This window comes from Homo sapiens, chromosome 5 (assembly GCF_000001405.40).
Source record: "Homo sapiens chromosome 5, GRCh38.p14 Primary Assembly".
NCBI lineage: Eukaryota > Metazoa > Chordata > Mammalia > Primates > Hominidae > Homo > Homo sapiens.
This window is the reverse complement of record NC_000005.10, coordinates 148,356,469-148,382,925: the sequence shown is the minus strand read 5'-3', so window position 1 is coordinate 148,382,925 and position 26,457 is coordinate 148,356,469. Positions and strand designations below refer to the sequence as shown.

At 36.7% G+C, this 26,457-nt stretch overlaps 1 long non-coding RNA gene across 1 annotated transcript in view; it reads left to right on the top strand.

Moving 5' to 3' along the window:
• FBXO38-DT (FBXO38 divergent transcript) overlaps window positions 1-26,457 on the top strand; it is a 115,544-nt gene that overhangs the window by 925 nt on the left and 88,162 nt on the right. The window contains exon 2 of the long non-coding RNA NR_105057.1: window positions 4,081-4,224. This is a non-coding gene — a long non-coding RNA (FBXO38 divergent transcript). The remainder of the gene's footprint in view (window positions 1-4,080; window positions 4,225-26,457) is intronic.

Sequence of the window (26,457 nt, the reverse complement as noted above, 5' to 3'; positions counted from 1 at the left end):
TCATCATATTCATGTACTATTCATTGTAATCTCAGCTTTCATGTTACATTCTTCCTGTAATTGAAGACAAAAATGAATTTTTATGCTATTTGCTTCTGTCGGTTTCTTCATATTCAAACTTTAATAAAGGAAACAGACTTTAGCTTTTTCTGTTTCCCAGGTTATTCTGAAGAATAAATAGGAATTACGAAAGTTTCTAGTGCAGGGCATGGCATATTTAGAAGGCATTCAGTAAGATTTATTTCAGCACAATTGGCCTGAATTTTTAATTCAATGGAATATGATTTTCATTTTATTAGCATTCCTCCTTTTGTAAAAAGCACTGTAGTGGGACCTGAAATGAATACTCATGAGTAAGAAAGGTTTCCTACCTCAAGTTTAGAAAATTTCCTACCACAAATCATTGTAATAAATGTTAAAGATATTTTCTCACTGCTATGAGTGTTATATATAATAAGATATCAAAACTAGTTTTAACATTTTCAGGTAGAGCATGTTATATGTATCCCTTCATCTCTAGGATTTATTTGTACCTTGATGTTACAGGTTTTCATTAAAAAGGTCCTGAGTTAGTATTTCTCCTGTACAGTGGCACCATCATGGGGTCCCTGAGCGCTGCAGGAAAGTTTGCCCTACAGTAAATGACCTTAAACCGCTGTGTTGTTTTAATTTTCAATCCCCACTTTTTAATTAAATTCTAAAGTATCTCTTTTCATTCTTCCATGAGTTCTAGTATCAGCCCGTGTTCTTCCTTGAAATTCCTTAGGTACCTAAACAACAGATAATCCCTTTGTTAAAATGATGACTAATACTCAAGAGAAGTTTTGGTCAGGGATAGTGGTTGGAGTTTGCTCAGGACAGGTTCATATGGCTATGGAGCCTGTTCAGTGCACAACTGCAGAAGGTGCTATGCATATCAAGGCTATTCTTAACTACCCTTAGACTTGGCGTATATGGCAGAACTCCACTATGAATTCAAATACAGGATTTTTTTTGAAGGTAAAAAGGAAAAAAAAAAACTATTGTAGCTGTTTTGACTGAGAAGTTGTGTATTTAGTAGTCAGCAATGCAGGCTTTAGAACCAGAAAGACTTGGTTAACTGTGAGTTCCTCTGCTTACTGGCAGAGAGACAATGGGCAATCACTTCAGCTCTAAGGTTCAGGTTTCTTTAAAATAGACATTATGGTACCTACGTAACAAGTCACTCCAGAATTTAGTGGCTAAAAATTTTATCTGCCCTGATTCTGTAGGGTAACTGGGTTAGGCTGGGCAGTCCTAGCTTGCAGTCTCTGGCATTTACAGTCAGATATCAAACTGGGGCTGTAGTTAATGTCAGCCTCTAATAGATGTTATATTGATGGCAGTTGAGGCTGGCTGATCTCTAGATGCTCAGTTGGAGCTATTTATCAGAGTGCCTACACTTGGGCTTTCCCTCTGATTTGGGTTTCTTATACCGTGGTGTTTGGGTTTTGACAGGGAGCACTTGGAGGTAGAATGGGAAAAAAGGGAGCTGTTCCAAGCAAAACAGGAGGAAGCTACAAAACTTCATATAATGTAGCCTCTGCAGTCCCAGGAGTGACTTCCATCACGTCGTGTTAGGTCAAAAAAGCCACTAAGCCAGCCCAGATTCAAGAGAAGAATAAGAGTCCACCTCTTAATTGAAGATGTAGCAAAGACTTTGTGGCCATCTGTAATTTACCACACTACCTCATTGTTTTTAATTTTTAGATTTTTGGATGTATGAATATTAGCACAAGCATCAAAAAGTAAGGCTTGTAGTCCCTCCAGCCCAGTCTTGCATTTGTGCATGAATAATGTCATACATTATTTTTTAAGAAAAATTGTGGCAAAATATATATATTTGTCATTTTAACCTCTTTAAGTATACAGTTCAGTGGAATTATGCACATTCACATTATTGTGCAAACACCACCGCCGCCAATCATCATAACTTTTCTATCTTCCCAAACTGAAACTCTTTAAACAACAATTCCCTATGCTCTCCTTCCCCCAGTCCCTGGCAGCCACCATTCTACTTTTTGACTCTATGATTTTGACCACTCTAGGTACTCATATAAGTGGAATCATAACAATATTTGTCATTTTATGTCTGAATTTTTTCACTTAGCATAATATCTTCAGGGTTCATCCATGTTGTAGCATGTATTTAGAATTTAATTCCTTTTTAAATCTGAATAATGTTCCACTGCATATATATTTCACATTTTGTTTATCAATTCATTCTTTATGTTATTTATTTGTTGTTTATTTTTCATTGTGATTAAAAACACATAACATAAAATTTACCATTTTAGTTATGTATTTCCATTCATTTTTAGTTTTTAGTTAATGCATAATAATTGTACATATTCATGGGATACAGAGTGATATTTCAATACATGTATACAATCTATAATGATCAAAGCAGGCTAATTAGCATATCCATTCACCGCAAACATTTATCATCTTTGTGTTGCAAACATTCAAAATCCTCTCTTTTAGCTTCTTGAAAATATACAATAAACTATCATTAACTGTATTCACCCTACCATTAACAGATGAATGAATAAAGAAAATGTGGAACATATACACAAAATATGTATACAAAAGGATGAAATCCTGTCATTGGAGGCAATATGGATGAACCTGGAGGACATTATGTTAAGTGAAATAACTCAGGCACAGAAAGATAAACACTGTATGTTTTCACTCATATGTGGGAGCTAAAAAAATTTTTGAGCCCATTTTTAAGTGTACAGTTCAGTAGTATCAACCATATTCACGTTGTTCAGCAGATCTCTAGAACTTTTTCATTGCGAGACTGATACTCTATGTCCATTGAACAAGAGCTCTCCATTTTCTCCTACCCTAGCTCTGGAAACCACAGTTTTACATCCTGTTTCTGAGTTTGACTACATTAAATACCTCATAGAAGTAGCTTCACACACTTTGTCTTTTTGTGACTGACTTATTTCACTTAGTATGAAGTCCTCAAGGTTTTAAGGCTGAATAATATTCCATTGCCTGTATATATCACATTTTCTATTCATCCATCAATGGGCATTTGGGTTACTTCCACATTTTGGTTATTATGAATAATGCTGGAATAAACATGAGAGTGTAAATATCTTATTGAGATCTTGTTTTCATCTTTTGGCATATAGATGCAGAAGTGGGATTGTTGAATCATAGGATAATTCTATTTTTAATTTTTTGAGGAGCCACCATACTCTTCCATAGCAGTTACACTGTTTTACATTCTCATCAACAGTGTACAAAGGTTCCAATTTCTCCACATCCTCACCCTCATTTGTTTCTTGTGAGGTAATGTTTGTAATCCAGATAGAACAGTGCTTGGCAGGCAGCAAACACTCTATAAATGTTAGCTGTTATTATTTGATTGTTCAGAGACCTCTTTTCCTTCCTGCTTCTCAGCTATTTCTAGATAGTTGAAGTGATAAGGGCTGAATTCTTAGCATATGATATTTCTGAAGTTTACTTTCAAAGTGCCCTAATTTTTCCCAAGTTACATAAGAAAATTCTGTGAAAGGCTGTTGTATGTAGGTGTATACATAGAGAATTGCAATTTCAAAACCAACACATGGTGGTAGATTAAGAGAAAACAAAAACAAAAGCCTGCATTGAAGACTTTTACACTTCCATAAGCATGAACTCTGAGTGACCATTAAACAATATTAAAAATTAAGGACACTGCAGTTCATTTTTAATTTGTGCTATACTGCACAAGATCATGTTTATGTGACAAGGAAGTGAAAAGGTTAAGAGTGAAAAAGCAAATTCAGTAAACTTCTTTTTAAAAAATTACCCTTCAGTGTTATGGTTTGAATGTGTTCCCCAAAGTTCATGTGTTGCAAACTCATATGGTTGGGGTCTGTGTCCCCACCAAAATCTCATGTTGAATTGTAATTCTCAGTGTTGGAGGAGGGGCATGGTGGGAGGTGATTGGATCATGGGGGCAGACTTCCTGCTTTCTGTTCTTACGAAAGTGAGTGGGTTCTTATGCGATTTGATTCTTTTAAAGCATGTATCACTTCCTCCTTTGCTTGCTCTCTCCTGCAGGCCATGTGAAGATGTGCTTGCTTCCTTGTCACCTTCCGCCATGATTGTAAGTTTCCTGAGGCCTCCCAGGAAGCAGAAGCCTGTACAGCCCACAGAACCATGACCTGATGAAATCTCTTTTCTTTATAAATTACCCAGTCTCAGGTATGTCTTTATGGCTGTGTGAGAATGGACTAATACAGAAACTTAATGTCTAATGCAATCGTGTTGAGAGGTGGAACTTTTAAAAGATGATTAGGTCGTGAGAGCCCTCCCTCATGTATAGATCAATGCTGTTACCAGAGGAGTAGGTTCCTGATAAAAGAAGGAGTTTGGAGTTTGGCCCTTTCTCTCTCACTTGCTCTCGTTCTCATGCTCTCTCTCACGTGCACACTCTCTCTCTCTTTCTTGCTCTCTTGCCCATCTACCTTCTGCTGTGGGATGACACAACAAGAAGGCAGTCTCTAGATGCAGGTCCCTTGAACTTTTACTTCCTGGACTCAAGAACTGTAAGAAGTAAATCTCTGTTCTTTATAAATTACCCAGTCTCAGGTATTCTGTTTTAGCAGCAGAAAACAGACTAAGACTAATCTAATCATATTTTCTCTGTCACTACTTCTAGTTCAGATGTTTTAGTTTGATTACCAGAGGAAAGACAGCAAAGATGTTAGGAAAGAAAGTACACTGAAATGCCAAAAATTCTGAATTCCATCATTTCTTCAGGCAGCCAACATTTATTAAACGTCTGTTTGAGACCTGGGAATATGTTAGGCACCAGGGCTGCAGAGATGACTAGGAAACAGTCTCTACTCTCAAGTTAGTGGGGAGACACGATCTATAAGGAACATTTCAGCAAAATTTAGGAAATTCTGTCACAGTGGAATACCAGGATGCCTAAGTAGCACAGAGGAGAGGCATAATATAATGAAATTCGTAGAGTAAGGTAGTGCAATGGTATTTGCCAGAGACTGGAGGGAAGGGGAAATGGGGAGGTATTAGTCACAAGGTACAAACTTGGTTATACAAGATTAGAGATCAAACAACACTGTAGAGTGTATTTACAAAATTTGTTAAGAGGATACATCTTATGTATTCTACTCACACATAACATAATGAAAAGACAGGAAGAAACTTTTGGAGGTGATGAATAGGTTCATGGCATAGATTGTGGTAATAGTTTCACAGGTATATATCTTCAGACGCATCAAGTTTTATATATTAAATATATGTAATTTTTGTATGTCAATCATACTTCAATAAAGTAGTTTTTTTTTTAGAAAAAACTTTCAATGTCTCTTTTTTGCTTAAACTGAGGCTTAAATAATATATATATAACTTGCTTATCAGAGTTCCCATGTACAATATGCATTGGTTTCAGCCTGCCTTTTCAGTCTTATTTCCCTTCACACATAGCATATTTCAGCTGAGCGTAGGACTCACTGCTTCCCCTCATATACCTGATGACTCTGTAGCCCTAGGCGAGTGAACAGTTTGCTCCCCTGTAGGCAGAAGGTGGATCAACCTTATTCAGCTCTTGCAAGGAAAGAGAAGGAAGATGCTGGTGAGCTGGGCCCATCTAGGTGAGTATAATACTGGGACAGAAACTGATGGTCCTTGTGTTCCACAAGTAACTGGGATAAAACAGTTGTGCTTCTTATGTAAGTTGGTTATATTTTGAGCCTCACATGGTTCATTCATTCATTCAGCAAGTATTTTCTGAGTGCTTGCTCTAGGGCCAGACACTGTTAGGTACAATAAAACAATTATGATGAGAAGTAGATATGTTTCTACCTGCAGTTCAGTTTGGTTGAGGAGTTTGGGAACAGAAATCAAATAACCATACTGATAGACCAATTTTTCAAAAATAAACAGATAGGGATAGATACATAGTTAAGTTTTGTCCAGTAAAGGAATTAATGAATAAATGGATAAATATAATACACTCGATTTTTCCTTTTAAGCATTTCAATGGTTTAATAAACCAAACCTTCCTAAATATTTAAATAAAACTCATAACTCTATTAAACATACACATATGGCAAATGACGACTTCTCAAACAGCCAATAATCTTTAGTCTTAATAAAATTCTCATCTCTTCAACTTAATATTCTAAGTTTAAGCCAATACTTGATTAAAAGTTTAAAATTTCAATGATAAGGCTCATCTATCTAATTCCTTAACATGCTATAGTTTTTGAAAATAGGACATTTTATGTATTAATTATTCATTTACTGTTTCTTAGTGCCAGATAATAATAATAGATATGATTTAATCCTCATTTCTTTGCTTAAATTTGACCTTTTGGCATAGACATTGTAAGAAAACCTTCTATTTCTCTTATCTGGGGACCGCAGTTGCATACTGATTGCGGGGAATGTTTGACTGGGCTCCAGGATTCTCTTCTTCCCATTCCCAACCCCACCCCCGCCTTTTTTTTTCTAATCATGAGCTGTAAGGACATGAGACTGGAGTGGCTGCAGCCATTTTTCTTATCTGGTAGATAGAGTTTGTATGGGAGATGATGAAACCAGCATTTAATAAAATCCAGAGACAAGCAGAGGGCAGAGATGGAGACTGAGACTTCTGACAATACCTGAGTCCATGGATAAAGCTGTGCCTGAATTACGACCCACCCTGAATCCTCCTAATTGCATGAGCCTACACATTTCTTGCTTGACCTAAGCTGTTTCATTTAGATTTTCATCTCTCTTAACTGAAAGTATCCTGACATATTTCATAGGCCGTGTTAGCCATTGTCCTCCTCCAGTACTCCAAACCTTCAGAAAACATTTGTTACCCTAAATAGCCTTTAAAGTGCTTGAGGAATGAAGGAAGATAGCGGGTGTGCAGTGGCTGTGGAGTCATCTGCACCAAAGTGGTGGGGAGTGAGGCAGCAGCATCCAAAGATGAAATGAGGTGCCGATGGAGAACTTTGCAAAATTAGAGATACAGAGCAAGTAGTTACCATAAGGACATAGAGGTCCTGGGATCCTCTGCAATCGGGAGGACACCAGACTTCCTGTGATTTGTGGAATGGAAGGTCAAGTCATGTCATTTGGATATGAAAGTGTGGGCATCAGAAGGCTAAGATCTCTAGGTGACATTTTCATGCTTTCTACCAAGATAAAAAGTTTCTGATCCTGGCAGTATCAAGTCTTATTATAGCAAAAACAGGCAAAACAGTTTACTGCAATAAGGACAGCAGTATAGCAAGGGATTGAGCTTGGGCCAGGCCTGAGAACAATCTTAGACTCAAAGATAGCATATAGAAAGTATAGTGTTGAAGCATCTGTTGTTTGCTTGACCTGCGTTTATTTCTCCTCTGGCAGTAGTTCTTCAATATTCCTTTGGGGAACAATTCTTTATCATCTTCTAGTTCATACAGTAAGGCCAACTTACCTCTGGCTCCTGTAGGACCTTATAATTTGGTCCATTTCAATGAGAATTAAGCATGCTTGTAGCTATGACTGGTTCAAGAATAAGCCTTTTATTCCAACTAGTGTAATAAGACTCAAACCTTTTGTTAGAAGACTTCTTGGAAAAGGAAAGCTCTCTTCCACTGACGACATCGTAACTCTAAGCTGCCAGGGTCTACCACTGCAGATAGAGGTGGTGTGGGGTGGGGAAAGCCTGCCTATGAATAAAAACCACACTGGAGAAAGAATGGATGGATCCAAGAGCTGGAGAAAGAAATTTCCAGCAGAAGTTTTGGAGACCCTGAATCCAGCTGTTACTAAATTCAGATTCACCTGGAGTTGTCAGGCAGAAGAGCCATAAAATCTCCCGTTCCCCTCTTCCCCCTATCCCCTGCTTTTTTTTTCTTGTGAAATCTGGGGAGCCTGATCATTACTGGAGGTGGTTGGTAGTAGACAGAGGATGTTACTCTTCCAAAGTTCAATGTACTGCATGTGGTTTGCCCACTAGAGGGTGTAGCTCACTGTGCATTAGGAGCAAGGAATGTTCAGAGAGGTAATGCTGGGAGGCATTTACTGTCAGAGATCTGTTGAAATGTTGCAAGGTCTCAGCCACAGGGCTCACATCCCTGAAAGGGGCCCTGTCTCAGAAGGACTTGAAGAGTGGTCACATGACCAAGGCCTGACTACAGGCATAGCAAATAGAGCAGGATGAAGGACTTCATCTTAACCATGAAGCTATTTTTGTCTTAAAAAGAAAAAGTCATAAGAAAGAATGAGATCTTGACATTTGTAACAACATGGATGGAACTCAAGGTCATTATGTTAGGTGGAATACACGAGGCACGGAAAGACAAATTATGCACGTTCTCACTCATTTGTGGTAGCTAACATTTAAAACAATTGAACTCATGGAGATAGAGAGTAGAATAATGTTTACCAGAGGTTGGGAAGAGTATTGGGGGCAGGGAAGAGGGGATGGTTAATGGGTACAAAAATATAATTAGATAGCATGAGTAAGCTCTAGTATTGATAGCACAGCAGAGTGACTACAGTCAACAATAATTTATTGTACATCTAAAAATAACTACATAATTGGGTTGTTTGTAACACAAAGAAAGGATAAATGCTTGAGGTGATGGATATCCCATTTACCCTGATGTTATTATTATGCATTGTATGCCTGTATCAAAATGTCTAATGTACCTCATAAATATATATACTCACTCACTACGTACCCACAAAAAATAGCACATTTTTTAAAAGGTTATGTGCAGGAATCGCAAATATATATACTCACTCACTATGTACCCACAAAAAATAGCACATTTTTTAAAAGGTTATGTGCAGGAATCGCAAATAGGTTTTATGTTCCATATCAAATCTGATGACAAGGCATGCCTGGATTACTATGTTGATAAACATTTTGAGGCCACATACAGCTCAGTGGCATGTACTATTTGATTACTGATATCTAATGTGGGCGTGGGGAGAAGCAGGATGGTTGGATGTGATAGACATGTGACATCTATGGTGAGATGTTTCTCAATAGGAGCACTATCAGGATCCTGGATGGGTTAATTTTTCCCTATGCAGGACAGTCATTGTGACAAGTAAAAATTAAGTCCCCACATACTTTAAATACCCTTTATGGGAATAGTACTGCTCTATTAGAAAATTATTAGGTTAAGCCAAGAGTGACTTGATTGATTTAGATTTGCCTGAGGATTGAACTAGAGCTTCTTAAATGCTTCAAGACTAAAAAATGAGGATTTTTTTTTCTAGATCCCGAGACCAGACTGAGCTTGCTATCTGTAGGGAATAGGGACTGAGAATGGGGAGGGGAATGAAGAATTTCTGTTGAAGGGGAGAAGATACTTATGGTGACAGGAGCCAAGTAGAACCTGACAGTAGGTGATTAATGTATCATCCCTGGTTAAGAAAAGCATAGGAGGAACCTCAGCTGTGGGAAAAAGGGGTATCCTGTTAAACATCAGAGTCATTTGGAGTGCCCTTATCCTACCATTTTCATTATTGTTGGGTGTTTCTTTTGCCAGGATGTTGTCTTTATATAACAGTTCTCAGGGAGCTGCCCTCTACTCTGTACCTTTGAATCCACTGAATAAGATCAGCCACTGTAAGTTATTTTTGGAAGAAAACATATGACTCAATGAATAAATACATACATGAGTAAAATATTTCCTACCCCTTAATTTAAGAGTTCATGACCATCTATTTTCATTTTCTTCATGCCCCTGTGAATTCCTGTGGAGAAGAGAGGAAAGGAGCAACAAGAATGGTATTATTGCTGCCTTCAAGTTTTGCCTTTGTCATACTCTTCCAGCCAAAGACTACTAGGAACACACCTATAGTTGTACAAACAGGGCTTATGATTAACTGCAGCCTGTGAGAACACACACCCCTGGGAGCCATAAGGCATGTCAATAGAAGGGTATTAGAAAGGTCTTATTGTAGGATTTGAGATTGTTAGGTTAATTTGGTGGAAGGCTTAAGGAAAAGAGGCTTTGCTTTGGTTTGAATGCCCTCAGAAAGTGGGAGTAATTATTTAGGAGGAGGGAAGAGTAGCTTAAGGCTAAAGTTGTAATTGGTGAAGAAGCAGCAGTCACATTAGTCTAGATAAGTCGATATTTGGTATTTTGTGACTTTGATAATGTTCATGTTTTGCCTGTGTTTAGTCATGATTATTAAGTGGTATTATCTTAGTCTTGATTTCTTCATAGTCACAGAGTAGTTTGTCAGATGTAAACATTCTATGAAATTGTTTATCTCAAATGGAGAACATGAAGGCCCAGATGTAAGTAGAAGACCAACGTGTTACAATGCTAAGGCAAGCTTCTGCATGCCATGGGTTGTTTTACTCCTTCTCACATTTTATCATATTGTTTAATAATCTTTTGTTTTATTGCTCCCTCACTGGACTGTAAAGTGCATGAGTGCACAAACCTGTTTTGATGACCACTGAAGACTGAGTCTAGACAAGTCTCCCAATCTCATAAGTACTTAAAGAGTATTTAGTGAGTAAGTGACTGAATTGTCCAGTTAGCTGATTAGACTGTGAATTGCCCAATGTCAGGGGTTACTTCCTATTCAGCTCTGTATTTCTAGAACCAAACAGTTCTGATGTATGTAATTAAATATATCTCGAGTCAAAGAGGAACTCTCCATAAGATAAGATTTATTGCTTTTCTTTAAAAAATAAGGTAATATAATGAATTCTACTTTATGAATGAGAGATGATGCTTATTTCAAATGGTTTCATTCATGAAAAACAAAGAAAAATCACTTCATATTCAAGATGCAGGGGACTTTCTGCATTTTCCATGGTATTGAATGTTGAGAGTGAGATTCAAAGCTCTAAGAGAAATTGATATAAATATTTACAAACCATTAAAATGAAATATAATCTTTCTTGACCGGCCTAGTTGCATATTATAATCTCTATATTATATAATAATTTTTTGAAAGGAGAGAGAATGAGCCCAACAGGTTGAGGTTGCAGTGAGCCAAGATCATGCCACTGAACTCCAGCCTGGGTAACAGAGTGAGACCCGATAGATAGATAGATAGATAGATAGATAGATAGATAGATAGATAGATAGATAAATGGAGAGAGAACTTGATTTGTAAACTCCTGGCTTACAAATAGCCCATAGCTACAAAGATTTTCCTCTCCCCTCATTATGCACTTTCACCCTGGAGATGCTTCTGATTTGTAATCATGGCAAAACATTATTAGAGCTTTTAACGAATGTGTAAACCTGTATGTTAAAAAGTAGAGCATGAGGAAATCAATAAATTGATAAGGTACCTTGGGAAAATCTTTTCACTTCTCTGAATCAGAATTACCTTGTTGATAAAATGACCATAATGATGGATACCGACTGAGATAGGCTCTTTTGAGGATCACTTTGGAAATAGGCTGTTTTGAGGATCACTTTGGATATGCTCTATGAACTTCAAGAATACTTATTATTGAGACAAAGACCATAATACAAGAAGCATACGCATTACTGGGGCAAAGACCATAATGGTTAAGAACAGGATAAACTCAGGAGTGTAGAAAACATAAATGAAAAATATCTGTCTTCTTCAGCAGAAATGTAATAACAATACCAAGCAAAATACTAAATTTTATACTAAGTTATAGTCAATGAAATTTTGTGTGCGTGTTTCATGCAAAAGTGGCCTATTTTTTTTTTTAAACAAGGTCTCACTCTGTCACCCAGGCTGGAGTGCAATGCCGCAATCTCAGCCCACTGCAACCTCCACGTCCCAGGTTCAAGCAATTCTTCTGCCTCAGCCTCCCGAGCAGCTGGGATTACAGGCACCTGCCACCATGCCTGGCTTTTTTTTTTTATATACATTTTTAGTAGAGACGGGGTTCCACCATGTTGACCAGGCTGGTCTCAAACCCCTGGCCTCAAGTGATCCTCTCAAAAAGTGGCCCATTTTTAAAAAATTTAACAATAGCCACATAGGAGCTACTGTGAAGTTATAAGGAATATTATTCATCTTCCGTACATACTTCCTATTTGACATTGGGCAAGGCAATCAACTTTGGAGTACTTCATTTTTATATGTAAAAGGAAATATCTCTCCCCTGCCTTCCATGTACTTACAGGGGTCCTGTTTGGGAAAGTACTTTCTAACTGTCGTAAGCTTATAACCATATATTATTTGTAGTAGTAGCTTGAGAATAATAGTATCTTATTTTTTATTTTGTTTTCTCAGCACCTAGCAGAGTGTCTGGAACTTTCTAGGTGTTTATTAAACATTCTTGGGATAAATATAAGAACCTGTTTTGAAAACTCCTAAAATTCTGTCCAAATAAAAGTTTCTAGTCATAAGATAAGATAATAGGAATTTAAACTTGTAGGCTCTGGGAGTCAAATTCCTAGATTTGTTTCTTGGTTTTTCTCCCTATAAGCAATTATATCTTGGGTCCCTAAATCTCTCTAAGTGTCAGTTTCATCATCTATAAAATGAAAGGTAATGCCAATTTCAGCTTTGTAGGATTGTTTCGAATACTGAATGAGATAATTTCTATGTGGTACCAAGGACAGAGCTTGGTATGTAATAAGCACTAAATTGAAATCAGGCCTATTTGTAGGTTTTCAAAAGTTTCCTCATTATTTATTCTCTTAAATATTTTATGTTTCTGAGTATATACAATAAATACATTTTTTAAAGTTTAATCATACAATATGCATCATTTGATACATTTTGTAAACTTAATGTTAGGTCATGATTATTTTTTGAAAAGTTAATAGGTGATGTCTAGTGAAGTTTTTTTTTTTTTAAATCATATAGCGCTAAAAAAGGATGAGCCTATAAGCAAAAAGCCAGAGAGATTTGGTGCACTAAAGTGGATCAACCTTTGACTTCCCCAAGATGCAGAAACACAGTACCAGTTAGAACCCGAGCTGGGGTTTGAAGGATGGAGGGAGGCACATGTACAGTTAGTGTAAAGATACGCTTGTCCCCCTCACTTTGTTATGAACATGACCTGGCCACACATTTGGAATGCCTTGATAATCTTAGAAGAAAGCAACTTCAGGCTAACAGAGATAAGTAGAAAAGTTGAGGAACCAGATCAGTCTTATGCATAAACTCCCTCTGAAATAGTGGGCATGGGAAGCAAAATGGATTTCACAACTGACCTGGAATAAGAAGAAGCTGAGCAGTAGGGTGGAGGTGTAGTAAACATCAGAGAATCATGGACAAGGATATTTAAGTGGCAGCACAACAATGGGAAAAGAAGATCTTACGTAAGAAAACTGTACTTCCCTCGAGTTCCACTATTGTGTCTGGAGATGCTAAGAACTATTTGGAAAATGGAAAGTTTGGAAAATATTGGCTTTCATGCAAATAAAGTTAGTGGGCATTAGAGCATTGATATTTGTAGCATTACCATAGACAGTGACACAATTCCATTTACTAACTCTTTTCCAGAAAGTATTAATTATAGATGTGCTATAATTATGTATTATATTATTAGAAACTAATTATATGTTATTAGATCTTTTTTTGTATTTTACCCTTAGAACTACTGTGCAGAACATATCTATGCATTATTCTTTGACAATACGTTTAATACTTCCTGAGGATAGTACCCAGAATAGCCAAACAGTCTGAAAATGAGCAAATTTTAAGAACCCATACTTCTTGACTTCAAAGCTTACTATGAAAATCTACAATAATCAAGAGAGTGTGGTATTGGCACAAAGATAGACATATAGACCAATAGAATAAAATTGAAAGTTCAGAAATAAATCCTTAAATTTGTGGTCAATTGATTTTCAATGAAGGTTATAAAACAATTAAATGAGGAAAGATAAGTATTTTCAACGAACAGTGCTGGGATAGCTGTGTATTTACATACAAAACAATACAGTTGAATTCCCTGCCTCACACCATATACAAATCTAACTCAACATGAGTCAAAGATCTGAATGTAACGGTTAAAACTTAAAACGTTTGGAAGAAAACAGAGGAGATATTTGTGACCTTGGATTAAGCAATGTTTTCTTAGATATGATGCCAAAAACACAAGCAGCAATAGATAAATTGTACTTTATAAAATTAAAATCTCCTGCACTTCAAAGGACACTGTTAATAAAGTGAAAAGAAACCCACATAATGAGAGAAAATATCCGTAAGTCAACATCCATTAAGGAACTAGTATCCAGAATATATAAAAAACTCTTACAACTTAACAATAAAAAGGTAAATAATCTGAGTAAAATGTGAGCAAAGGATTTGAATAGACATTTCTTCAATGAAGCCTATGAAAAGATATATAACATCATTAAATCTTTTGGGAAATGAAAATCATAACCATGGTTTTCATGATTATGATACCACTTCACACCTATTAGGATGGTTATCATTAAAAAGATGAGCAATAACAAGTGTTGGTAAAGATATGGAAAAATTAGAACTCTCATATACTTTTACTGGGATTGTAAAATGCTGCAGCTGATTTGAAAAACAGTTTGGTAGTTCCTCAGTTAAAGTTTTCATATACCCCAGCAATTTAACTCCTAGGTTTATACCCAAGGTAAATGAATGTTCATAGCAACATTATTCATGCTAGCCAAAAGTGGAAACAACCCAATGTCCATTAATGGATGAATGGATAAATGAAAAGTGATATATCTAAACAGTGAAGTATTATTCAGCCATAAAAAGGCACAAATAACTGATGCATCCTACAACATGGATGAATTTTGAAAATCTATACCAAGTGAAAGAAGACAAAAAAGGCCACATGTTATATGATTCCATTTATATGAATTGTCCATAATAGACAAATCTATAAAGACAAAAAGTAGACTAGTGGTTTCCAGGTACTGGGGTGGGGGAGATGACAGAGGGGTAGAGGTTTCTTTTTAATGAAAATTTTTCTGAAGTTAAACAGCAGTGATGGTTGTACAACTCTCTGTATATATTAAGGACCACTGAATTGTATAGTTTAAGAGAGTACATTTATTATTTATCCTATTAAAATTTAAATCCTAAGAATACATTTTTAGCACTGAGAGTTATTTTTTATTTCCCTGAATCCTTGGGATTGCAGAGAAGGGTAAGACAGTAGATTTGGAGAAAGGATGAAATGTGGTTAGCTAATAAAACATTTGGGAGAAGAAGTAGCAATCATCCATGCAGTTTCTCTCCCTTCTATGGAATCCCTTTGTATGCCGTCGAATTATGACCACAACATGAAGGCCTATCAGATGAGGTTTTGAGATCATTTGGAAGATACTGCTGTACTGGCTAAGGCTGACTATGGTATAGGTTATCTGGTCTGAGTGAGTTGGGAAATATGGAAGGAGCACTAGGGGCTGAGTACAAAGGCGTGTTTATGATAGAGTGACCAACCATTCTGGTTTGTCTGTGACTTTCTTATTTTAATATGCAAAGTCTCATGTCTAGGAAAACCCTTAGTCCATGGAAAACTGAAATGGTTGGTCCCCTAGTTAGTAGCAACAAAGGTCAGTCATCTGTTATTTACTAAGGGCTTGCTATGTGACAGGGATTATGCTAAGCCCTCTTGATCCATTATCTTTTTCAATCCTCATAGCCAACCTCTAAGATAATGACTGAGATTATGTTTTCTGCCCTAAGTCACATAAGTTTAAGCAGAAGAGCTGAGGTCCCAATCTAGTTCTATAGGATCAGAGTCTTCATTCTTAAACCCACATTCCATTCAGAGAGTTTGAGCCAAAATAAGTAGTGAATTTTTTTAAAAAAATTACCTATAAAGGGTGATTTAGGTTTACAAATATGTTTTATATCCACTATCACATTCATTCTGCCCAAGAACCCTTTGAATTATTCATTCATTCAAAATGTACTTGTTGAGGTCTTACTTGGTGCAGATACTGTGTTAAGTGCTAGGAATTAATCAGAAACCTGCCTTCTGACTTCATGGAGCTTACATTGGGTGATAGACCAAAAATAAACAGAAAATTAAAATATATGGTCATTATGACAAGTATTACAAAGGAAATAGAAATAAATTAACATAAAAAATATCAGAGGTGAATATATTTTAGATAGAATGGTCAGGGAATCCATCCGTGGGAAGTTATATTTAGACTGAAATCCAAATGATGAAGAAGAATTAGCCCTGTGAAGTGGATGGGAAAACATTCTTGTAGGAGAAGACAGATTGCCCAAAGTTTCTGAAGCAGGAAAGAGCTTTCCAGGTTTGAAAATATCGGAAAAGAAGAGTCAATAATGTGGATGGAGCATATGTAGCAAGTGAAGCAGTAAATATCATTCCAAATATTCCAGATTTATAGATGACAACTTGAGGTTTGGAAGCATTATGAGACTTCCCAATATCACTCAAACACAGGAGCAGGATTCAACCCAAGGGCTTTTGACCTCAAGTGCTGAAACCTATTATTTTAGTCTTATCTTGAAAAAAGTAATGTTTCCTACAGCTGTGATTTACATTTTAGGAAAAGAACCTTTTTTTTTTTTTTCATGGAATCCCATGTTGAAATTAATGTTTAAAACAGATAAAGGGAGGCTTCTCTTCTAAAGTTGGAGATGGAATTCGAAGTCCCGTTTATTTACTGCCTGTCCCCCTATTCCCTCAGGTTCAGTGAGTGGAACTGAGATTTCAGTGACTTTTTTTTTCTTTTTAGTTTACAGAATCACATTTTGAGGAATTCACATACATTTTCCAAAACAGTAAATAGTTGATTGCAGTCAGTTACATGTTAAATTCTCAAAAGAGGGTTCTATTTTTGGTTTCATGTTTTCATTTACATATTAGGAAGCAGTACACTCAGGAATTAGGATTAATAATGTTATTAGATGCACATAATGGGCTGACTTTCATGGAGCATATATGTTTCTGTTGTGTAAACTTCTTTTGATAATGACTGCACTGACGGACCTAAAACGAAACTCACAGGTCAAACTTTGTATCCTGCAATGATCTGTTAATGGCTTCTAATATAAGTGTTCTGGTGTTTTACTTTATGTAGAGAGGAGATAATGATAAAATATCTTTTAAACCTCAAGCATCAAAACTATATTATCTTAAGTTCAGCAACCAGAGCCTTTGGGGTTGCTGGGGTTTCTATCTTGTGGGGTAACTGAGGCTGTACAGCCCAGGTCCTTGGTTGTGTAACGCATATCTACAATTTGTTAGAATAAAAAGAAACCATTCTGAGAAATGAGAAAAATGACTATAACTACTGTCTGGGAATTACTATAAGCACTGTCCATGTTCCTCTGGAATCATTTTGGTTCATCAAATTCCCCCTTTTAACTGTGGTGCCTGGAAAAGGATGTGTTTTGTGGTCCCACTCTAGCTTTGAGTGTACTTTAGTCCTCTGGGGATTAGGATTCTGGAATAATAAGCTACCAGGTTTATGTTTTCCTAAATCTTCCCATTTTATTTTGCTTTTCTCAGTATCACCAGAGTTAGAGGACCTTGAATATTAGAATTATTTTTCTGTGGATGGGAGGAGGCTTGGAAAGTTTGTAATTATTATATAACGAGATTAGGAATGAGCTGCCACAGTCTCCTACTCTAGTGATTCAGATTACAGTGTGTCCATTTATCCAGTATATCAGGCTGTAAGACTTCACTGCCTCTCATCACAGCAGTGTTTCCCAAACTTCAGTAACTTGGTTTATGATTCCTTCAAAATTCGTGTGTCATTTTTCTTTACAAATATTTTGCTTTAAATTGGCTCACTTATTAAATTTGCCTACCAATCTTAGATTTGTCCTAAATGTGAATGTCCATGATATCTTGGGTTTGAAGTTGTAAACATATTTTTTCTAACAGATGAAAGAACAGCTGCAATTATTGAAATGAAAGAGATTCATTGGCCTATTAACTAAAATTATTATTAATACTATCAGAAGGTACTCAAATCATTCTTTGGAGAAACAGTGTATGTCTCTTATCTCCTGTTTTAGTGATTTAGCCTACATGATATAGACTTGGAAAGACTTTACCAAAGACTAGATGCTTTACTGGGCTTTTAAGAGATGCACATGACTTTGAAAATTGAATATGTATATAGAAAGAAGGATATTTAATTAGAGGGAATTATATGCACCAAGACACAAAACTGGAATAGCATGAACTCCAAAATAGTTTAACTATTAAGGAAGTTATCCTTTTAGGTAGAAAGAGGCTGGGTTAAGTTGGGGGGTATTGTAAAACATACAAAAAATGTATCCTGAGAATACTGAGAGTCATTGTTTTAAATAAGGAGAAGTCTCAATGAGATTTGGATTTTAGAAAGTCCATTCTCAAGGTTATAGAGATTAGAGCAGGAGTTAGCAAACTTTTCCTGTTAAGAGCCAGGTAGTAAATGTTTTATAATTTTTAGGTCATTTGGCCTCTGTTGCAACAACCCAGCTCTGTACCAGCTTGAAAATGGCCATAGATAACATATAAACAAAGTGTGCCTGTGTTCCAAGAAACTGTATTTTCAAAAACAGGTGGCAATAGTTTGCCAACTCCTGAATCAGACTAAATGCAAGGAAACCACTAGATGGTATCTAGATGCACTAGATGCATATCACAACACTATGGGCAAGTAACAAGGAGGATTTAACCTAGGCAAAAGTATTGAAGTTACAAAGAGGAAAGAAAATACATTAAAAAACAAAAATTAGGAGCTTGAATTGCCAGTGGTATCTAAGGGAATGCAGAAGCAGTAAGAGTCAGAGATGTGTCCTGATTTTCTCAGGACCTATTTTGACAGAGGTATTTAAATTGAGCCATATGAAATTGCCATTATGTAGACTGAAAACGGTCAGATATTCGCAGTTTTGTATGTTCAACCTAATAGAAATTCTATAAGGCTAAGATTAAAAAAATTATTCTTAGGCAGAAAGTGGAAAACTTATCTTAAAAGGATTGTTACCAAAAATATCTGAAATAAAAATGTTTAGAATAAAATATTAAACAATGCAGTGTTGAAATGTGTATAGCTAACTAGCCCTATTAAGTAATCACAGATAAATTAATAACCATGAAAGTCATGAAAAAATAAGTGGCTTCTTCACACACAAAAATATCTGGCCATGTCTTCTGTTACCCAAACACTGTTTCCTCCTTCTTCTTAATGTCCTACTGAGACATCTAATGTCTTACCTGGGAATTCAACCTTATCCTGTTCCTAGGTTTAATGTTGACCTTAGGCAGGGGGTATTTAAACCCAAGCATTATCCTCTGGGGCTCAGCAGTATCATCCATTGCTGAGCTGTTCAAACATCATGCAGTCTCATTTTAGAGAAAGGTTTCATTCTTCATAGTCATCTTGGTTATTTACTGACAGAAATCTTAGATACCTGCTTTTGTTTTCAGATTATTGCATCTTGAATGTACCCCTTCTCTAAATTCAACTGGCATACAAGGAAGCCTCTTTTGCTGGGGACCTCTGTGTCAAAATCTGTTTACCCAAACTATTAACACTGTATTTAACCTTCATATTTGATGTTTTACTTGAGAGCCCTGACTTCTTTCAGCTACTGCAGATGAGCTTTCTCCTTGCTTCCTCATTCAACCTGCACCATTCAGCTAGCAGATCGAGTCTTACATGGGCTTACCTTATTGGTGCCATTTTGTTGGAGTTAATTAGAAAAAGTCGAGTGCTGTCTTGGAATTTGATAACATCTGGTGGTGTCCTAATAGTAAGCCATGTAAAAAACTGACACTGGTTTGCATAGAATGCATTTCTGTGTACAGGCTAACAACAAAATACCAGTGTGTGTGAGAGTATGATGGCAAATAATTAGGAAAAAGAGGGAGCAGAACCAAAATTGATTATGAATTTAGAAGGCCAAATTATTAGTCAGATATTGAGTACAACTTTCATAGATCATTCCTTAAGATATCTCAATTCTGAAGCTATCTTTGGCAGAATTCTTGGAATATTAAAAATGGATTAAACCGCTGATAGTTACTCTATTTAAGATAGAGAATTTTTCATCTCTGAGAAAAGTCTCAAAGTTTCGAAAATTACAACATCTAGAAAGCAGTTATTGTTAGCTTGTTACTTCCCCTGGAATATCAAATGTTTATTCTTTCCCCAAGTTTCTTTAACAAATCCTTACATGAAAAATAGCCAGTAGCCAAGATAACCATGACGAATGTTTCCATCTTTTCCATAAGGAACAAAGTGATTCATCCACCTGAGTTTTTTTAGTCCAGAGTTTTCTAGCAAATTCCTAAAGGCTGAGTTCTCTTGCTGAATCTAAGACTACGGTTCTATTGTGAGAACCTCAGACCCCATTATGAAGTCACTTGGCAAATGATCTATTTACATGTGGCACTTAGGACAAAGTCACCAGTTGTCTTAGTCTGCTCTGTGTTGCTATAACTGAATACCTGAGGTTGGGTTTATAAATTTTTAAAGAAAGAGATTTATTTAGCTGACAGTTCTACAGGTTGGCAAGTTCAAGAGGCATGTGCTGGCATTTACTTGACTTCTGGGGAGAGCCTCAGTCTGTGTTCACTCATGGTGGAAAATGGAAGGAGAGTGAACTTGTGCAAAGAGATTACATGTTGAGGGAGACAGCAAGTGAGAGAAGTTGCGGAAGTCAGATTTTTTAATAACTAGCTTGAGGGAACTAATCCATTCCCAGGAGATCTAGAATTCATCCATTCCTGAGAGAGGGCATTCATCTATTAATAAGGTATCCACTCTAATGATCCAAACATCTCCCATTAGGCCATACCTCCCGATACCACCACAAAGGGGGTCAAATTTGAATGTGAATTTTGGTGGGGACAAGTCACATCAATACCATAGCATCAGGCCATCAAAGACCAAGAAGGCTTCCAGGGGAAAATATTTCATCCTTAACAGGCTGTAGCGCTGTGGTATGACAGCGTGATTTAACATTGTTTTGTTTGATGGTTTGATTATTATTCAGTTCTATGGAAGTACATTCTGCTTTTTCTTGCAAGAAACAAATGTGAAAAAGATTAACTTAGTATGAGTAATTCTGGGAAAGGTTTTCAAAATTTACATGTTTGCCTTCTAATTCTGCTCCAGCAATCTCAAGATTCTTATTTGGTAGATTCTGAGTATGACTCAGACTGCATATATATAATATATATAGTCCTCCCTCAGTATCTGTAGGGAATTGGTTCTAGTACCCTGTAAATAACCAAAATCTGTGAATGCTCAAGTCCTTTATATAAAGTGGCATAGTATTTGCGTATAACCTTCACATATCCTCCTGTATATTTTAAATCATCTCTACAAGCTAGGTTTGAACTTCATGGGTCCACTTATATGCAGGGTTTTTTTCCCAACAATACAATCAGCTCTCCATTTCTACAGATTCCACATCTGCAATCAAACTTCAACTGAAAGTGGAGTATACAAGTCCTACTTGATATATGCAGGTTCCACAGGACCGACTGCAAAACTTGAGTTTGAGTGGATTTTGGTATATACAGGGGTCCTTGAATCCCGAAGAGTAATGAGGGATGACTGTACTTATACATAATACAATGTAAATGTTGTGTAAATATTTGTCATGTTGTATTTTCTATTTGTACCATTTTTTTTTGTTGTATTGTTGTTTTTATGGTCTTTTAAAAGAATATTTGGGATGCCTTCTCTCACCACTCCTATTCAACATAATGTTGGAAGTTCTGGCCCGGGCAATTAGGCAGGAGAAGGAAATAAATGGCATTCAATTAGGAAAAGAGGAAGTTAAATTGTCCCTGTTTGCAGATGACATGATTGTATATCTAGAAAACCCCATCATCTCAGCCCAAAATCTCCTTAAGCTGATAAGCAACTTCAGCAAAGTCTCAGGATACAAAATAAATGTACAAAAATCACAAACATTCTTATACACCAATAACAGACAAACAGAGAGCCAAATCATGAGTGAACTCCCATTCACAATTGCTTCAAAGAGAATAAAATACCTAGGAATCCAACTTACAAGGGATGTGAAGGACCTCTTCAAGGAGAACTACAAACCACTGCTCAATGAAATAAAAGAGGATACAAAGCAATGGAAGAACATTCCATGCTCATGGGTAGGAAGAATCAATATCATGAAAATGGCCATACTGCCCAAGGTAATTTATAGATTCAACGCCATCCCCATCAAGTTACCAATGACTTTCTTCACAGAATTGGAAAAAACTACTTTAAAGTTCATATGGAACCAAAAAAGAGCTCACATCGCCAAGTCAATCCTAAGCCAAAAGAACAAAGCTGGAGGCATCATGCTACCTGACTTCAAACTACACCACAAGGCTACAGTAACCAAAACAGCATGGTACTGGTACCAAAACAGAGATATAGATCAATGGAACAGAACAGAGCCCTCAGAAATAATGCCGCATATCTACAACCAACTGATCTTTGACAAACCTGACAAAAACAAGCAATGGGGAAAGGATTCCCTATTTAATCAATGGGGCTGGGAAAACTTGCTGGCCATATGTAGAAAGCTGAAACTGGATCCCTTCCTTACACCTTATATAAAAATTAATTCAAGATGGATTAAAGACTTACATGTTAGACCTAAAACCGTAAAAACCCTAGAAGAAAACCTAGGCAATACCATTCAGGACATAGGCATGGGCAAGGACTTCATATCTAAAACACCAAAGACAATGGCAACAAAAGCCAAAATTGACAAATGGGAACTAATTAAACTAAAGAGCTTCTGCACAGCAAAAGAAGCTACCATCAGAGTGAACAGGCAACCTACAAAATGGGAGAAAATTTTCGCAACCTACTCATCTGACAAAGGGCTAATGTCCAGAATCTACAATGAACTCAAACAAATTTACAAGAAAAAAACAAACAACCCCATCAAAAAGTGGGCAAAGGATATGAACAGACACTTCTCAAAAGAAGACATTTATGCAGCCAAAAAACACATGAAAAGATGCTCATCATCACTGGCCATCAGAGAAATGCAAATCAAAACCACAATGAGATACCATCTCACACCAGTTAGAATGGCAATCATTAAAAAGTCAGGAAACAACAGGTGCTGGAGAGGATGTGGAGTGATAGGAACACTTTTACACTGTTGGTGGGACTGTAAACTAGTTCAACCACTGTGGAAGTCAGTGTGGCGATTCCTCAGGGATCTAGAACTAGAAATACCATTTGACCCAGCCATCCCATTACTGGGTATATACCCAAAGGATTATAAATCATGCTGCTATAAAGACACAAGCACATGTATGTTTATTGCGGCACTATTCACAATAGCAAAGACTTGGAACCAACCCAAATGTCCAACAATGATAGACTGGATTAAGAAAATGTGGCACATATACACCATGGAATACTATGCAGCCATAAAAAATGATGAGTTCTTGTCCTTTGTAGGGACATGGATGAAACTGGAAACAATCATTCTCAGCAAACTATCGCAAGAACAAAAAACCAAGCACCGCATGTTCTCACTCATAGGTGGGAATTGAACAATGAGAACACATGGACACAGGAAGGGGAACATCACACTCCGGGGACTGTTGTGGGGTGGGGGGAGGGGGGAGGGATAGCATTAGGAGATATTCCTAATGCTAAATGACGAGTTAATGGGTGCAGCACACCAACATGGCACATGTATACATATGTAACAAACCTGCACATTGTGCACATGTACCCTAAAACTTAAAGTATAATAATAATAATAATAATAATAATAATAATAAAGAACAACTACTAAACCAAAAAAAAAAATTCTAAGGCATAATGTCTAGACCAGTTAGGAAAATACTCTCCAATCAGACCAAATTTGGAGTAGTTCCAATGCTACACCTGGAGTGAAGCTCTAGGGAGATCAAGATGTTGATGGATCTGGGCACTAAGTCTCATGAATGGATAAAAGAACTGGGATAATTTACTATGGAGATGAAAATATTTAGGAAGACATGAGGTGTCTTTCAGCTCCTTAGGGCCTTCAAGTAGAATAAAAAGCTCATTTTTGGTCTCCAGGCACAGATTAGGACAAATAGCTAACATTTACATTATTTCTCATAAAAACTCTGTTAGTAGTTACTATTAATATAAGTATCTCCAATACACAGATGAGAAGATTGAGGCAAAAATGGTTAAATTGTTCTCTCAAGGCCACAGTGATAACAAATGTTATCAGTGGAATTCAAACCTAGGAAATCTGACTCCAGAGCTTGCCAACTTTACTATATTATTTAGCATTTTGGTTCAACAGAAAGAGTTCATTGAAGATACAGACTATTCTATTTATCATTGCATCTTAGGCTCTTAGCCCAATGCCTGACACATTATATGGGTTAAAAGATTAAGTGAATAAGCAATTTTCTCAAACTCCTGGCCTCAAGCAGTCCTCCCACCTACTCTTTCAGGTAGCTGAGATTATAGGCGCAAGCCACGGTGTCTTGAAGGAATGATTTTCTGAACACTCAAGATGCCTAACAATTAAAACAAGCTGCCTTATGGAGGCCTTAATACCTCGTCTTCAGGGCTATTGCGACAGAAGCAAAAGGTGAATGATGATCTCTCAAAGATGTGGAATAAGATTTCTTTATGAGTGAAAAGTTGAAGCAGAAGGTCTTTACATAGTCTTTTTTCAGACGCTGTGATTCTATGATTCAAGATTTCTCAATAGTCATAGAAATGAATTTCCAAAATTCCCTCCAGCTGAAAAGTATACTCACCCATCTGTGAGACGACAGTATCTCTAAACTCTGTGGACAGAAGGTATTCAAGGGACTGCTGTTGCCTTGGGAAGGGTAATGACAATGGTGGAAGGGAGATATACACTGAAGACAGAGGCAGAGGCAAAGGCAAAGAGAAAGGGACAGGAGGCAAATGCCACTCTCTTGCGTTGAGGTGACCATGGTGGTAAGGTGGATTCAAAAGAGGTGACCTGGTAATATCAGCCAAATCCCCATACTCCCATTATATTCAAGCAAGAGATTCCATGTCGATTATTAAATTACCTTTTAGTAATTCAAGGTAGTAAAACACACGCTAGAAATACTGTTGTCTCTCAGTGTCCATGGGGAATTGGTTCCAGGATTCCCCACAGATACCCAAATCACAGATGCCCAAGTCCCTTCTATAAAATGGTGTAATATTTGCATATAATCTACACACATCTTCCCATATACTTTAAAACATCTCTAGATTACTTATAATACCTAATACATTGTAAATGCAATGTAAATATTATACTATATTGTTTAAGGAATAAAAACAAAATAATCTATACATGTTTAGTACAGATATAATCATCTTTTATTTTTCCAAATATTTTTGATATGCAATTGGTTGAGTCCATGGATGTGGAACCCATGGATATAAAGGGCCAACTATATTTGCGGACCTATGAGAAGGCTTCATTTAGAAAAAGAATGCTTAGAACCAGAAAACAGATATGGGTATACATGACCTCAAATCCCTCAGGAATACCCCCTATGCTGCTGATCTGGAGAGCTTCTTCAAATCAACAGCCATCACAAATGTAGATTCACCTTCATATAATAACTAATGAAAATGTCTTTCAATGTGTTATAGGGTCCATAGTAATTAGTTTTATTGAAATACTACCTGTGTTCCTGTATCACCTAATGGTTTTGCAAGCATATTCTAATAACAATGCCAACAATAACAACAACATAAACAACATCATTTACATAAGTTGAAATTGTTATATTTTCTAGGTACTTTCCTTCCATATCTGTTAATCTTCATAATAGTTTTGAAAAGTAGGTATCACCAATACCACTTTTACATCTATGCAAGAGGGTCTCCTTTGCCCTAGAGCCCTGTTTTAAAGAGCCTCCCTCCAGGTCTTCTCCATCCATGCCTCTCTCCAAAGTGCTTGGAGCTTGTAGGTCAAGGACATCTGCCCAGCACAAGACTTTAATCCCCTTCTTGTTTATAACTTGGAATCCTAAACTTTTGAATTCGCTTCCTAAGCAAACTTTAACCTGCTTACAGGGCCTATATAAACTTCTTCTTCAGGTCATCTCCCTCAAGGAAGACTATGTTTCTGATATGCACCTTCTTTACTCCAAAGTATGACCTAAGGGTGAATATTTACAGTAGTTTGGATGAAGATTGGACATGCAGGCTTTGGTATGCAGGCCCATGTTCACACTGCTCTTATGAGGCATAACAGAACTGAGTTGGATAGAGACCAGTGGCAGACCAGGAGAGAGACTGATGCTCTGTAGCTAATTTCTCTCATGCTGCTAGATTCCCACAAGAAACACTTAAGGAGTTTGAGAATCTTAAATTTGAGTCTGAGCTTTCATGTTGCAATGAAGACATATTTGCCAAGATATAAGAATAGAGTTGTATTTAAATGTGTTATCTATAAATTTTAAATAGTTTCTAAATACATTGTAGATATAGAATGCAAGAGCTTCCATTTTAATTCTTGCCTGGAGCCCAACACATGTTAGGAATGGGCCTGGATATTACTCTAACTCTAAAA